Source organism: Homo sapiens, chromosome 13, assembly GCF_000001405.40.
Source record: "Homo sapiens chromosome 13, GRCh38.p14 Primary Assembly".
NCBI classification, from domain to species: domain Eukaryota; kingdom Metazoa; phylum Chordata; class Mammalia; order Primates; family Hominidae; genus Homo; species Homo sapiens.
The window spans coordinates 32,577,376-32,593,238 of NC_000013.11; the positions used below are offsets into that span (position 1 = coordinate 32,577,376).

Genomic DNA, 15,863 nt, shown 5'->3' on the forward strand with positions numbered 1-15,863 from the left:
TTGGAACTTCCTAGAGACTTGTTAAAGGGCTTTGACCAAAATGCTGATAGTGATATAAAGTCCAGGTTGAGGTGGTCTCAGATGGAGATAAGGAATTTGTTGGGACCTGGAACAAAGGTGACTCTTGTTATGCTTTAGCAAAGAGACTGTTGGCATTTTGCCCCTGCCCTAGAAAGCTGTGGAACTTTGAACTTGGGAGAGATGATTTAGGGTATCTGGTGGAAGGAATTTCTAAGTGGCAAAGCATTCAAAAGGAAGCAGAGCATAAAAGTTTGGAAAATTTGCAGTCTGACAATGCAATATAAAAGAAAAACCCATTTTCTGGGGAGAAATTCAAGTCTGTTGCATAAATTTGCATAAGTAATAAGGAGCCAAATGTTAATCACTAAGATATTGGGGAAAATGTCTCCAGGGCATGTCAGAGAACTTCAGAGCAGCCCCTCCCATCACAGGCCTGGAGGCCAATGAGGGAAAAATGGTTTCCTGGGCTGGGTCCAGGGCCCCACTGCTCTGTGCAGCCTGTGTCCCAGTTGCTGCAGCTCGAGCCATGGCTAAAAGAGGCCCAGGTACAGCTCAGGCCATTGCTTCAGGAGGTGCAAGCCCCGAGCCTTGTCAGCTTCCACATGGTGTTGGGCCTGCAGGTATGCAGAAGACCAGAATTGAGGTTTGGGAACCTCTGCCTAGATTTCAGAGGATGTATGGAAGCACCTGGGTATCCAGGCAGAAGTCTGTTGCAGGGGTGGGGCCCTCATGGAGAACCTCTGCTAGGGTAGTGTGGAAGGGAAATGTGGGGTTGGAGCCCCCACACAGAGTCCCCACTGGAGAACTGCCTAGTAGAGCTGTGAGAAGAGGGCTACCATCCTCCAGACCCCAGAATGGTAGATCCACTGACAGCTTGCACCTTGTGCCTGGAAAAGCCACAGACACTCACCACCAGCCTGTGAAAGCAGCCTGGAGGGGGGCTGTACCTTGAAAATTCACAGGGGCAGAGCTGCCCAAGGCCGTGGGAGTGCACTTCTTGCATCACTGTGACCTTGATGTGAGACATGGAGTCAAAGGAGATCATTTTAAAACTTTAAAATTTAACGACTCCCTATTGAATTTTGGACTTGCATTGGGCCTATAGCCTCTTTGTTTTGGCCAGTTTCTTCCATTTGGAGCAAGCATATTTACCCAATGCCTGTACCCCCATTGTATCTAGAAAGTAACTAACTTGCTTTTGATTTTACAGGCTCATAGGCAGAAGGGACTTCCCTTGTCTCAGACAAGTCTTTGGACTTGGACTTTTGGGTTAATGCCAGAATGAGTAAAGACTTTGGTGGACTGTTGGGAAGGCATGATTGTGTTTTGAAATGTGAGGACGAGATTTAGGAAGGGCCAGGGATGGAATGATATGGTTTGGCTATGTCCCCACCCAAATCTCATCTTGAATTGTAGTTCCCATAATCCCCATGTATTGTGGGAGGGACCTGGTGAGTGATAATTCAATCATGGGGGCAGTTACCCTTTTGCTGCTGTTCTTTTGCTAGTGAGTGAGTTCTCATGAGATTTGATGTTTTCATAAGGGGCTTTTCCCCCTTTTGTTTGGCACTTCTCCTTGCTGCCACCATGTGAAGAAGGATGTGTTTATTTCCCCTTCCATAATGATTGTAAGTTTCCTGAGGCCTCCTTAACCATACCGAACTGTAAGTCAATTAAAACTCTTTCCTTTGTAAGTTAACCAGTCTCAGGTATGTCTTTATTAGCAGCATGAGAATGAACTACTACAATCACCCAGCTTCAACAATTATCAACTCATGGTAAATCTTGTTTCATATATACCCTTTTTTTATATATACCTTTTCATATATACCTTTTTTCCCTTTCTATATTATGTTGAAGTAAATCCTAGATATTATATCACTTCATTTCTTTTTTTCTAAAAAAATTATATATGCCATGTTTATCATTTGCATTTATATTTTCAAATTTATACTGAATTATAATGTTCATATAGAAAATGTGGTGCTCTCTAAACTTTCACAAACTGAGCACACTGAGTAACTAATAGCTAGATCAAGAAACAGAAGACTTTGTATTCAGTAAATTTTTCAACATACCTATTGTACTACTATTGCAAAAAACAAACAATAATTCTTTAATATCATTAAATAACCAGTGTTCAAATTTCCAAATGTCTTATAAATGTCACAATTTATTTTTTAACAGTTTATTTTTTTGACTCAGGGTCCAAATAGGTACACACATTGCAACTGACTGATTGGTTAATCTCTTTTAATATTTAGGTTTCTCCTCCATCCCTCATTTATTTCTTCCTTGGAATTTATTTGTGTGAAAAACCAAAACATGTTCCTATGTATTTCTTGTAAATTGATACTTGTATCTAGAGGCTCTTTCATATTCAGGTTAGATTTTTATGGCAAGATGACTACATAGGTGCTGGTGTATTCCTCTGTCAGTGAACATCTAATGCTTTATTCTCTCTCTTTGTGATGCCAGCAGGTACTTACGTTCAATGTCTGGATCAGTTATTTTCATTAGGGTTTTAAAAATAATAATATTCTACTTTTTACATTCCTTCTTCATTTGTTAGCTGGACTACTTCTGTTCACAGATTACTATTTGATTTTCCACTGGTACAGTCTGTACAGAGCAGGCAGGATAAATGATTGATTCTTTCCTTTATTTGTCAGTTTTAAAAATAATGAAATGGTTCATTAGCAACCTCCAACAGTGATTGTTTTTCTTTTTATTTTATTTATTTATTTATTTATTGAGACGAAGTCTCGCTCTGTCTCCAGGCTGGAGTGCAGTGGCGTGATCTCGGCTCACTGCATCCTCCACCTCCCGGGTTCAAGTAATTCTCCTACCTCAGCTTCCTGAGTAGCTGGGACTACAGGCATGTGCCATCATGCCCAGCTAATTTTTGTATTTTTTTAGTAGAGACGGGGTTTCACCATGTTGGCCAGGATGGTCTGGATCTCCTGACCTCATGATCCACCCGCCTTGGCCTCCCAAAGTGCTGGGATTACAGGCATGAGCCACCGTGCCTGGCCGAATGTTTTTAGTTTTAAGCTATATTATGAGTCATGGATTTAAATATATTTTGTGTGTTATAATTCATTATTGAACTACTCAACAATAGGGGTTCATTAAATAAGTCATAGCATAACTACACAATAAAATAGTATTACATAGCCACTAAAATAATAATATCAATGTGTATTTATTCACCAGAAAGTTATTTATGATATTTTATTTAAAACTTATTTTTAAAATATTAAATGCATGCTCATAGTATCAAAGGTATTACAGTGACAGATTTCTTTCTCACCTTTGTTCCCAAGTCACCTAGATTCCCATCTAGAAGTCCTCTACCTTTGTGTAAACTTGTATATTCTTCCAGAGATTTCTAGAGCTGATAGTTCACCTGGTATTTATTATTGTGGCTGTATTGGATGTTAAAAATAATGAAACACTTCTATAAGGTTGCTATACAGTTGGTTCCCTGAACCTACCCCTTCCTCCTTGGGCACCCAAACCCTTCCCTGCTGCCCCCAAGACCTTGCCCATCATCCATTAATTGAAGAGTTAATGCTTCACACAGCAGGCAGCATATGTGGTCCTATTCAAGCTACAGCCAGTATCTGTTGTCATTGGTCCTTGCCTGTCCTGTACAGTTGCAAGTATTTTAATATTATCCTTGGAGATTTCTATGCCTTTAGGAGCAAATTTTATATTATAAAACATTATGTTTTGTAAAACAAATCTAAATCTAAATATATGAATATAATATGTTCTGGACTGATACATATCAAAGCATTATAAGTAAATTTTTCTGGTGGCATAATTATGAGTGATCTTTTTTTCTTTTTAATCTTAACTGCAGTTCCAGATTTCTCTATAATGGGCAGATTATTTACACAGCAAAAAATTAAAGTGTATCTCTAAACCAGTTTTATTTCATAAAAAAGAATGGAGATGTCAACATTTTTCAATAGCTCCATCTGCTGGCTGCTGAATAAAGCTAATTTTAAATATCAAGTTTTAACTAAATGAGACAGCCAGAAGAAATAGAATTCCTGTGTTAGAGCAAAGTATGCTTCCTACGTATCCATGAAGAGTAAGTATTAGGAGTCAATTTACTTGGAATAAGAGGTGATACAAACTTGGTTCCATATAGAGTGAGCTACTACCCTATGCTCAAAAACAGGCTGCTTGCCTAGAACAGAAACGTGAAACTGAAAAATTGTTTTGGAGTTTTTGGCCATCTTACACTGGAATGCTGATTTTTAAATTAAAAAAAAATTTTTTTTGAGACAGAATCTTGTTCTGTTGCCCAGGCTGGAGTGCCATGGTACGATCACTGCTTACTGGAACCTCTCCTCATCTCAAGTGATCCTCTCTCCTCAGCCTCCCGAGTAGCTGGAACTACAGGTGCATGCCACCATGCCCAGCTAACTATTTATTTTTTATAGAGGGAGGTCTTGCTATGTTGCCCAGGCTTGTCTCAAACTCCTGGGCTCAAGCTATCTGTCCACCTCAGCCTCCCAAAGTGCTGGGATTGCAGGAATGAGTCACCATGCCCGGCCTGTAGATTTTTCAAATAGCGCAAAAGTAAATAACATTGATTAGTGATTGCATGTGAATATATGTGAAACATATTATATTGAAGGAATTTATACGCCTTTGCACAAATATTCAAAGCAGCAGTCTAAATTCTCCTTTGTCATTCTCCTTACTTTTCAAGTGAAATTGCTCTTGGTTCTATATCTCTTTATTATTTCCAGAAGTTGAACTGATGATAAATGCTTTCTTAAACCCAAATCTCTCTTTGGATGATAATGCAAGCTACGATATTTTGTGTAAAAATTTCTGACATCTATCTTTGGAACTCTTTAAAAAAGTTAGATGTATCAAACATATTCCAATATAGTTTCTGAAGATCTAGTTTACAGAAATTTCCCAGATGATTTTGGTATTCTTCCACTCCACTCGAGTTAAGAACAGCTGCCCTGGGACTGTAGATGAATGTGGCATCCTTTCAGGAATATTTGCATTGTAAAGAGGATCACAGGATGGGCACAGTGCCTCATGCAGGGGATTAATTGTGGAGGGAGAAATTTGAGGCACCAGGGGCTGAGTCTTGGATGAGGGTGAAGGAAAAGAGCCCGTATACCATCTTTCAGCAGTAGTGATGTCATGAATGAAGGATCAACTTCAGGGGCTTGGAGTTTATCAAAATGCCTCACCAGTTTGCCTAATGCCTAAAATATCACAAAGCTAATTTCTGTTGGGCTTAGTTTCTCCTAATGGATATGAATGGGTTAGTGTTTTTTTTTTTTTTTTTTTTGAGATGGAGTCTCGCTCGGTTGTCTAGGCTGGAGTGCAGTGGTGCGATCTCCGCTCACTGCAACCTCCCCCTACCGGGTTCAAGCAATTCTCTGCCTCAGGCTCCCAAGTAGCTGGGATTACAGGCACCTGCCACCACACCTGGCTAATTTTTGTATTTTTAGTAGAGACGGGGTTTCGCCATCTTGGCCAGGCTGGTCCTGAACTCCTGACCTCGTGATCCACCTGCCTTGGCCTCCCAAAGTGCTGGATTACAGGCGTGAGCCACCGAGCCCTGCCTAACTTTTTCAAGTAACACAACCACATTCCAACATGTTTTCTGAGAATCCAATGCCTTAACCCAATAAATTAGTCTAGTGGGAATTTCAGCACTGTTGCAGGCTAACAGGGATCATATTTTTGTCTTGACTAGCCTTTGGGACATACCTTGAATTATGCTGAACCGGTAATGTTTGTCTAGGTAGGGCCCAGTCTTATCATTTACTAATTAGCTGCCCAGTGTGCTCTACTATGTATAATATGATAAACATTTCACCATATTTTGGAAACCATGCTGTAGTGCAGCAAGGCTGTACTCAAAATGCAGTAGGGGCCATAGGGGTATATTTAGGACTGTCCAGGTTAATTGTGTGCATTCCTGATGTCTTTCAACTTGCTAACCTCTTTAACCTCAAATTTGGACTCTATTAAAAAAAGCCCAGGTAACTCAAATATGAGTGATGTGGCAGACTGAATAATGGTCCCCTTACAATATCCATGTCGTAATCCCCAAACCTTTGAATATGTTATGTTACATGGCAAAGGGGAATAAAGGTCACTAATCAATGGACCTTAAATTAGAGATTATCCAAGTGGGCCCAATATAATCACAAGAGTATTAAAAGTGGATGAGGGAGTCAGAGGAAGAGCTGCGGTGACAAAAGCAGGTCAGAGAGACGCCATGGAGCTGGCTTTGCGGATGGAGGAAGGAGGATATGAACCAAGGGATCTGGGCAGCCTCTGGAAGAAGGAAATAGTAAGAAAAGGGATTCTCCTTTGGAGCCTCCAGAAAGACACACAGCCCTGACAACACCTTGATTTTAGCCCAGCGAGATACCTGTCAAACTTCTGCACTCCAGTAAGACAATAAGTTTGTGCTCTTTTAAGCCACCAACTTTGTGATGATTTGTTATAGTGACAAAGTAAAATTAGTAGAGGTGGGAACTACATTTGTGGTTATTCATAATCAAAGACAATTCTCCTAACCATTTCTGTATAAAACCAGCATTTGGACATAATTCCCACATAATTTCTCTTTCTTGGTGTAGAAAGCATTCACAACTGAGTTTTGAATGGTTCACACTCTTAAACTGTCTTAAACAATGTTGTGTTATGTTGCTCCTAATGAATTGCAACTTGGCTATTTTTAAAAATCCCAAACACAGAAGATTATTTTTGTTCAAATATCAACTTTAGATTTTAGTTTTCCCAAACAATATTGTTTTAAATGAAGGTTTATATTACTGATTTCTGTAAAGCCACTTGCAGTCATATAAAAGTATGCCCTTTTGTTAGAAACTATGCCTCATTAAAGCTTTAGGGTTTTTCCTCTGTCTGTCCTAATGGTAATTGCCCCATTGACCCTTACAATGTAGCTATTTTGAAGGCTATCTCCTTTCTGCCCACTCTTTTCTTGGGCTTAATCCTGTGGTGTTAGCAGCCTAACGTGGGCAATATGTATTCCGGGCCTCATTGAAATTCAAGGCATCATTTTATAAGAGAGAGGGTTAATGGTGAAACTGGCAAAACTGCTCACAAAGTTGACGTGACACCTTCAGCCCTTTCAGGACTCACTGCCATATACAAGATGTAGAGTGACATTCTTAAACAATTCATACATCCAACAAAATATTTACTGAGGCTTCCAGGTGTCAAATAATGGGGATAAGAGCACTGAATAATTTATACAAAAACTCTTAGCCGGGCATGGTGGCTCACGCCTGTAATCCTAGCACTTTGGGAGGCTGAGGCAGGCAGATCACGAGGTCAGGAGATCGAGACCATCCTGGCCAACATGGTGAAACTCTGTCTCTACTAAGAATTACAAAAAATTAGCTGAGAGTGGTGGTGTGTGCCTGTAGTCCCAGCTGCTTGGGAGGCTGAGGCAGGGGAATTGCGTGAACTCAAGAGGGAGGTTGCAGCGAGCCAAGATCGCGCCACTGCACTCCAGCTTGGCGACAGATCAAGACTCCATCTCAAAAAAAAAAAAAAAAAAAAGAAAGAAAAAAGAAAAAAAAATTCTTGCTTTCATCCTGGCTTTCTTCTGAAACTTTCTGGCTTCCTGGCTTTGGAGGTTTGGGAATTGAAGAAAATAAAGTAAAAAACATAATAAAAACAACCAAAGAGGAAAGGTTTTTCTAGATCTAGACATCCTACTCTCCCATACAAGATTTATGTTGATGGAACAACGATGTAAAATAAGAAAATTCCTGAGATAATTTTAAAAAGAGGGCAGAAAAAACTCATAGTAGACTTCATCGAGGAATGTATAAAATGGGTAGAACCTGGAGTATTCAGTGGCAAAATCTTGGACACAGGAATACAGTAACACAACATATTGGTCTAGCAAGCACTGGAGGAGACTGAGGCGGAATTGTCCAGCGAATCCCACAAAAATGGAAATGAAGAGGTCTCAGTATCTCTAGGTGCCCGGGTCCGATGGAATACCGATGTACATACCTTTTCTAACACAGTAGCATTAGTTTATATATCAGCATTACCTCTCTTTTGTTTCAGTTGATAAGTATCCTACTGTAATCCATTCATTCACACTTTGCTTGTTCATTGTTGAAACAAATTCTCCCTGGAACAAAATTCTAGTAACCAAATACATCATATCAGGGGAAACTTCCTTACAGCAGGGATGGTATTAAAGTAAAAAGAGGAGGAAGTCCCTTCTTCAGCTCTGGCAGGGACCCGGCTGGGGAGGAAACCTTCCCGCAAGGTAGGTGATCTGCTGTGGTGACCAGGCTAAACCCACTCTACAGCTGCAGGAGGGACTGGCATCCCTTAGAGGTGAAGAGGGGAGGAGACCCACCTCCTGGAATGTGTCCCTGTGGTCTCCAGATGATTTCTTCCTCTAATAAGGACAATTCTGCCAAAGGAATGGAATGCTTCGTCACAGGCTCAATTACTCTGTCTCCGCCAGCCTACCACCTATAAACAATTCCTCAAATTAGGAAAGCGGGGAGATTTAATAAAGACATAACACGTAAAGTGTAGGAAAACTATTTGTATGGCATTCCGAGACGACTAGGTCAGAGTTAACAAGTAAGGAGCAAAGTAGTTAATAATACCAATTCTGTTTACCCATCACAACACCTGTGCTGAATGTCAGGGTTTAAAAAAATCTCCCAACCTTTATCTAAAAAGATAGGGCTACGTAACAATCGGTGTGGTTTTTGTCGGTAGAGGTCTAGGAAGCCGCAAGAGTAGTGGACGCCTTGACAGCTGCCCTTCTCGCGGGCCCCGCGGCGGCGTGCCCGTGTGGTTGCGTGCGCGCGGACGGGGCGGGGCTGAGGAGGGACGTGCGCGCGCGCGGACGGGGCGGGGTGGAGCTCGGAGGGCGGACGCGCTCGGGGCCGTCTGGTCGGCAGGGGGCGCTGCGCACCCATGCCGCGCTCTGCCTGCCCCCGGGTGCTGTCCGCGGCGGTTCGATTGGAGCAGCCGCCGAAGAGCGCTTGGCGCCATTTTGAAGCGGAGAGGAGGAGGAACGGCAGGGCTGGCTGCGGAAGGGGAGGGGGGGGGAGAAGGCGATTGGATGCGGCGGCGGCGGCGGATCCCGGAGAGCCCCGGAGTGAGCGGAGTAGCGAGTCGGCAACCCGGAGGTAGGAAACAATTCAGTTAACGGAAAGAAAATGTCTCTCTTCTCTGGCTGCGGCGCTCCATTTTTCAGCGGCCGCCACTGCCGCTGTGTGCGTGTGTGTGGCAGGGCTGAAGCGCCGCCCGCCTGGGTGCCAGGCGCGACTCGCCTCCCGGCATCGGGGGCTGCAGCGGGTGGCTGCCTGGCGGTGGCCCGGGGCGGGGGTCGCGGGGCGCGGGCCGGCTGCGCGGTGGGGGTGGGGAGGGCCCCGCGGCCGGCGCGCGCCTCCACGCCGCGGGTTCTGCCGCAGCCTCTGGAAAATTAAACTTGCCGCTCTGATCCCGGCCGGGGCGGCGGCGGCGGCGGGCGGTGACCTTGCGCGCGGGCGGGGGTCTCGGGGCCGCCCGGCCGCCCGCGCCCTCCCGCCGCCGCCGTCGCCGCCGCCGCGCCCCTCCCCCCGCGCCCCGGCCGGCCGGCGGCTGTTTCCCGGGCGGCAGGCGGGCGGCGCGGTGCTCCTGTTGAATCCTCCCGCGGGCGGGCTTCTCCCCCTTCCGGGCGAGGGGCGGGCGGGGACCGCGGGTCGGGGCCGCGGGCGCTCTCGCCCCCGCCGCCGGGTCCCCGCGCGCCGCCTGGCCTCCGCTTCGGGCCAGGGGACGGGCTGAGCGTGACATTTTTGCACTGTCCCTCGCCGCTCGCCGGAGGGAAATCGCGCTCACCGCGCCACCCCGAGTGGTCCCCGAGCAGCCAGTTGAGGAAGAGCCCAGCACTGGCGTGGAGGGACTCCTCCCAGGCCACAACTGGGTTCTAGCTTTCCTTTCAGAAGGAACGGCGGGGAAAATGGTGTGCAATTGTGACTCGTTATTGTTTTTACACTGTTATTTTAATGTTACTTTAAAAGTTTTCGGTCCGGAGAAAAACCTTGTTTGTTGTTGTTGCTGCTACTGCTGTTGGTTTTTGGTAGAGACGTGAAAGCTAACTCTTAAGTAGCTCGACAGTTATTTTGGACGAATGACTGAAACCAGAAACGCCGCCCCTCGCCTTCGGAGCTGCAGGCTGCTGCGTTCCTTGCCGCGGACGGGGCGAGCTCCGGGAAGGGTTGGTAGAGCAGCTACCCACCCACTCCACGCGCGTCTTCAACAGCCTCTCTCCCCCAGCGAGGGTTAACCCTTTTTTATGTCGAAGAAAGTGCTTCTCGTACTTTTAATAAGAGGTGATGGATGGGCAGTGGTGCCCAGACTGATCCTACCCTGTTGATGAAATAGTTTCGAAAACTTTGGGTATAGCCTTAATTTAGAGGGTTGGTCTGCGGTGTGGAGAGAGTTGGGTAATCCTATACTATCTTCCTAATGAACTTCAAAAACTCAAGTTGTGTTTACATACAGGAGGCGAGCTGTAAATAAATCGTAATTACCCAATGCTTGAACGGCAGTATAGTCATTGTTCTCAGTTAACACATCCCGAGTTCCCAGACAGAACGTTTTTTATATTAACTCATGTAGTGGTCAGGTAAAGTAATTAAAAGCCACAAATATGGACTTGAAAGACAGCTCTTCATGCAGTACACATGTCTGAGATGTTCGCATCTTTAGGGACAATAAAATGAGTATTCAATGGTGTATGCAGGTCAGTTCGTGCAACAATTAATCTTGTATCTCATGGTGATAGCAGAAAACCTAATTAAAATTTGTAGTGCTGAATATGTAGGTGAAAATTACATGGGAACTTTTATGTGAAGATAGATTTAGTCTCAGAAACTTAACTGTAAAAACACATCTTAAGAACATTATTCCTTATAAATAAAATTTGTACTTAATATACATTTACAAATATGTCTAACAAGATGCACTTTAGACTTTATAAAAATTACCAAAATAGTGACTTTTTCCTCCTTTTTCTGATGGTTTTAAAAATTGTTCTCTTCTCAGCTGGCGTTTACTTAAAGGTATATTTTAAATGGGAAGGTAGTGTTTGTCTTGGCCTTTTTTCTTTTTTTCTTTTCTCCTTGTTTCGGTTAAGGCTGATTTTCCCTATATTAACTTTTCTTTTACAGCAGCTTTTGTTACTCTTGTAGGCTTTGTTCTCTCGTGTTATGTCTCTCCCCTCTCCCCATATTAGAGAGAGATGTGGTGATGATAGTGATTGTTGTTAGGAGATGTTTGTATTAAGCTTATTTGTAATAAGATTCTACCGAGTTGGCTGTTGGATGAAAGTTGTTTAAATTGTTCTGCAGCTTTGTTTAACGAAGTAACATTTTGAGCAGTAGGCTTTATCAATAATTTGTTAGGCCTAAGATAAAGTGATACTCTGTATTAGGCAGGGCTTGCCCTGGAGAGGGGTGCAATGGTAGAAAATACCCAAAACTTTGTGGGGAAGGAATATTTCGGGAAGCTGTATTCTTTCTGCTTTACCTCTTGGGAAATTTAGAGACTGCCTTAGAACTAACAGGAGTGCTCAGTATGATTTGGCATACGGACTCTTGAATGACATGGACTGTATATAACGTATATTGGAAAAGAATACATTTGTGTTTCCTCTGTTAGTGTTAAAGAGCAACAAGAAAACTTAAGGATGATCTCCAACTCACTTATACATGAGAAATTAGGTTCAGATTTTAATTTCATTGATTTATCTGAGGTCACAGTCATATTCATGTGGTGGAACTGGGGCAGCCCTTAAGATATCCTGGAAGCTTAGAAGTTTCCCCATTGTCTTTTTTTGTTCTATTCAGGATTTAGCAATATTTATTAATAAAAATTCAGGGTAGTACATTACCCTCCATCCCCTTCTCACCTTTTTATTCATTTAACCAAGAATAAAGTTTTGTGGTTAGCCGTCTGTTTCAGCGTCTGGTTTTTAATAATTTCTGTTTAGGATTCAGTCCATTTAGGTTGTCTCAGAAGATAGCCTCTTGTAGGTCTCTGTCTCCGGGAGCCGTCTTTCTTTATGTAACATTACTTGACATGGCATTTATTTATTCTTTGTGAAACTTCTAAGAGTAATTTGGGAAAGTTAGTATTGACCTTTGTTTTGTTACAAGATATAGTGCGTGCATGAGTATGCGTGTATTTTTTCATTTTTAAACTCAGTTTGCTACACAAGTCATCTGTCACTTCTAGTTACAATAGGCGTTTTACTTGGTTTTCGTATTCCTGTTCGGGAATGTTAAAGATTCCAAAAATACTTAGTTTAAAAACAAGCCCAGTAGTTTCTCTGAGAGTGTATTTACTTTTTAAGAAGCTGCCAAATGGTTCGCAATTCTGACTCCTTGGAGAGTAGAGGTAAGAAGCCCTTTCCTCACACTGTTCTGTTACAACCACTTGATTCTAACCATTTCCCCCATTACTTGAAAAAGGTTTTAGAATCCTTTCTCATTAATTAGTTCAGAATTAAGAATAAATTTGCTGTGTTGAGACTGTAATTGTTTTAGCTGGCATGAGTGATCGTGCACAGTGAAAAAATCATGATAATAAAACTTAGATGAATAAAATTTATTTGTTCAAATCTTAAAGCCTTTGAGGTTTAAAAAGTATAATCATTGTGTTCTAATAATTAGACATTAATAATAAGTAGTAATTAAAAATACTTGGTTTAGCTATGTAAAACATAAAAGCTAACAGGCTTGGGGGAAAGACTGATTAAAGTAAGAAACTATTTTGAGGCATCTTTTTAAGGACTAAAAGTATTCCACTAGCCTGCCATTCTCTTTTTTGACGGATAATTACCTGATTCAATTAAAATGAACAGGTACAAAACTTCCATATACATACAGTACCAGGGATGATGCACTAAACAGGACTGAAGACACCCTGTCCTATAGAAGTGCAGAGTAGTGGTTGGCCATCCACAGCAAGGTGATGAGAGCTGAGACAGACCAGAGAGTAGGATCTCTGCTGTTACTTAGTTCCGAAGGAGCAGGCCCTCCTTCCTTTTCAGTGGCAGTTGAGGTTGCTCTTTTTATGTGGGAGAGTGAAATTAGCCAAGATTAGATCCCATAAGGAGAAGGAGGGGCTCTTATAACCAAGACCATTGTCTTTCTCTAGAAGAGGATGGTTAGGGACCTGAAAAGAAATGAGATTTTGTGTTTCCTTAGGTAAGATAGGATTCTTTCTCCTCAGAGGTGATTTTAGGGAAGTAATTGAAGATATTTTAAAGGAAAGCTCCATATCTCCAAAATATTATTTAGTAGCTGAAGTTCTACCAGGTAGTTTCAGTTAGCTTTCAGATATGGGATGCTTTGGGTTGGGTGTGGGGGTGAGAGTTGCAGGGGCAAGTTGCAGGGGCAAGATGCTGGGCAAATTGCAGGGGTGAGAGTTGCAGGCCTTAAGTACTCTATTAGGGGAATAGAGTACCTAAAGAATTGTGTATTTTAAGTTAAAAGTTATACAGGTATATGGTAAAAAAAAAAAAAATTTAATGATAGAGTAAAAAATGTTACTTTTTTCCTCCCCCCACAGGTAATCCACTGTTAACAGTTTCTTAAAAGTTTACTTTAAAAAAAATTGTACAAAGAGTATTGTTATACTGTTGTACTGTAATTTACTATTTTATTTATTTATTTTATTATTATTATTATTTTTTGAGATGGAGTCTCGCTCCGTTGCCCAGACTGGAGTGCAGTGGGGCAATCTTGGCTCACCACAACCTCCACCTCCTGGGTTCAAGTGATTCTCCTTCCTCAGCCTCCTGAGTAACTGGGACTACAGGCGTGTGCCACCATGCCCAGATAATTTTTGTATTTTTAGTAGAGACTGTGTTGGCCAGGCTGGTCTCAAACTCCTGACCTCGTGATCCGCCCGCCTCGGCCTCCCAAAGTGCTGAGATTACAGGCATGAGCCACCACGTCCGGCCTACTGTTTTATTTTTTAACTGTGATTTACTTTTTTCCTTAGTTAAGTCACAAGCTCTTTTCATACTGGCACATACAGATCAACATAATTAAGAAATAATAAGAATATTTTATTATAACATAATTTATTTTTTCTGACTCCTGTTGAGTAGTACTACGTTGTAATAGTTTACATTGACCAGCAGCGTATGAGAATGCCTGTGACATGTATTTACCAACATTGGACTTTAAAAAACTATATTGCCAATTTGATATATGAAATTTGTCTTGTTTTGGGTTTGTATTTCTTTGTGAGTGAAGGTAAACATTTGTTTATATGCTTATTAGGGGGAGGCCATTTGCAACATATTCTTTAATCAAGTGGTTTAATGCTAGTTTAATTTACTTGCTGCCCCCACCACCTACCTTCACCCTTACCTAAGAGCTAAGATGGTCTGAGAGAAGTGGGACTTTAAGAAGAGGAAAAATATTTTGGGGCTCATGGCACCTTGACGGGGAGCAATGCTCTGAATGGAGAGGCTACAGCACCTGGCTTTGAACAACTCTGGGTCAGTATGAGAGTATTGAAAGCCCTTGACTTGGTGTAAACATAAGGTAGAAGAGAAGCTGAAGCGACACACAGGAAGGGAGATTTGAGAGTCAGGGCAAATAAATTTTGTATAGAGTCAACCCCACCTTGTACCATCTGCTTATCCTGTCTCATCACTTCTCCCTCCCACCTTCAACTATCATTTCATTTTTATTCATACTGTCATTTGGTTTTCTCCTCTTTTCCTGTCAGGCATGGCAGCCTGGACCTGGGTATTTCAAATGCCCCAGAGATGAGGTGTGCTTAGTTTTTGGTTTTCTTTTTTTTTGAGACGGAGTTTCGCACTTGTTGCACAGGCTGGAATGCAGTGGTGTGATCTCGGCTCACTGCAGCCTCGGCCTTGGCAGGTTCAGGCGATTCTCCTGCCTCAGCCTTCTGAGTAGCTGGGACTACAGGTGCACGCCACCACGTCTGGCTAATTTTTTGCATTTTTAGTAGAGACAGGGTTTCACCATGCTGGCCAGGCTGGTCTCGAACTCCTGGCCTCAGGTGATCTGCCCGCCTTGGCCTCTCAAAGTGCTGGAATTACAGGCGTGAGCCACTGCGCCCTGGCCTAAGTAGAAGCTCTTGAGCACTTTTTCCCCCTCTGTCTCTTTGGTACTATTCCTTTCAGCTTTCGACTCTCCTAGCCTTCTGGGGTAACATAAATAGGTCAAGTCTTTATAGCTGTAGTTGGAATTCGGAAGGTCACTGGCATTTAAGACTTGAACATAGGAGCATATATCACAATATATGCTCCTATGATATATCAGGATGTGATGCTTGATAAGTGGGGTCCCTTTCTAAGGAATGCAGAAGAGCATGGTGGTTAATTTAAGCATATAGACTTAAGAGTCAAGACAGCTTGGGTTTTTATCTCCTCTAGCTAAACAAGCAATTACCTAATCTTACTAAATCTCAACTTCTTAATCTGAACAGTGGGACTAACAGCAGAAACCTCATTTTTAAAAGCAGCTTTATTGAGATACAACTCACATACCATAATCCATTGAAAATACACAATTCATTATTTTTTAGGATACTCATAGGTTTGTGCAGCCATCATCACAGTCTGATTTTGGAACATTTTTGTCTTCTGTGAAAAACGCCAAACCAAATGTAAATGAGTAGAGCCATTACGGAGAATATTATGGGGGCTCCTCAAGAGGTGAGAAGGGATAGAGAGAGGTTGGCTAAAGGCTACAAAATTTAGCTAGATAGGAAGAATAAGTTCTAGTGTTGTACTGGGTGACTAC

The 15,863-nt window shown here is 42.5% G+C and overlaps 1 protein-coding gene and 1 long non-coding RNA gene across 8 annotated transcripts in view, besides 4 other annotated features; one reads left to right on the forward strand and one right to left on the reverse strand.

Moving 5' to 3' along the window:
• On the reverse strand, positions 7,643-9,070 carry PDS5B-DT (PDS5B divergent transcript). Its single transcript, XR_001749808.1, has 3 exons — positions 9,002-9,070; positions 8,429-8,547; positions 7,643-8,194 (listed from the first exon to the last, which is right to left on the reverse strand). It is a non-coding gene; the product is annotated as a PDS5B divergent transcript (long non-coding RNA).
• Positions 8,762-9,131: a silencer, noted in NCBI's record as "silent region_5249". NCBI's record gives its function as "represses an Ori minimal core promoter by ATAC-STARR-seq in GM12878 lymphoblastoid cells {active_cell/tissue: GM12878}" and the evidence as "EXISTENCE:reporter gene assay evidence [ECO:0000049][PMID:35858748]".
• Positions 9,077-15,863, forward strand: part of PDS5B (PDS5 cohesin associated factor B) — a 191,568-nt gene continuing 184,781 nt past the window's right edge. For 6 of the 7 annotated variants that reach the window (XM_005266298.5, NM_015032.4, XM_017020452.3 and 3 more), the window contains exon 1: positions 9,077-9,218. The gene's annotated coding sequence lies outside the window, so the exon portion shown is untranslated. Of the gene's footprint in view, positions 9,219-9,893; positions 10,034-15,863 lie in introns of those variants that run through there. The other variant, XM_047430186.1, reaches the window with a different exon arrangement.
• Positions 9,142-9,221: a silencer, noted in NCBI's record as "silent region_5250". NCBI's record gives its function as "represses an Ori minimal core promoter by ATAC-STARR-seq in GM12878 lymphoblastoid cells {active_cell/tissue: GM12878}" and the evidence as "EXISTENCE:reporter gene assay evidence [ECO:0000049][PMID:35858748]".
• Positions 9,642-9,891: a silencer, noted in NCBI's record as "silent region_5251". NCBI's record gives its function as "represses an Ori minimal core promoter by ATAC-STARR-seq in GM12878 lymphoblastoid cells {active_cell/tissue: GM12878}" and the evidence as "EXISTENCE:reporter gene assay evidence [ECO:0000049][PMID:35858748]".
• Positions 10,122-10,181: an enhancer, noted in NCBI's record as "active region_7563". NCBI's record gives its function as "activates an Ori minimal core promoter by ATAC-STARR-seq in GM12878 lymphoblastoid cells {active_cell/tissue: GM12878}" and the evidence as "EXISTENCE:reporter gene assay evidence [ECO:0000049][PMID:35858748]".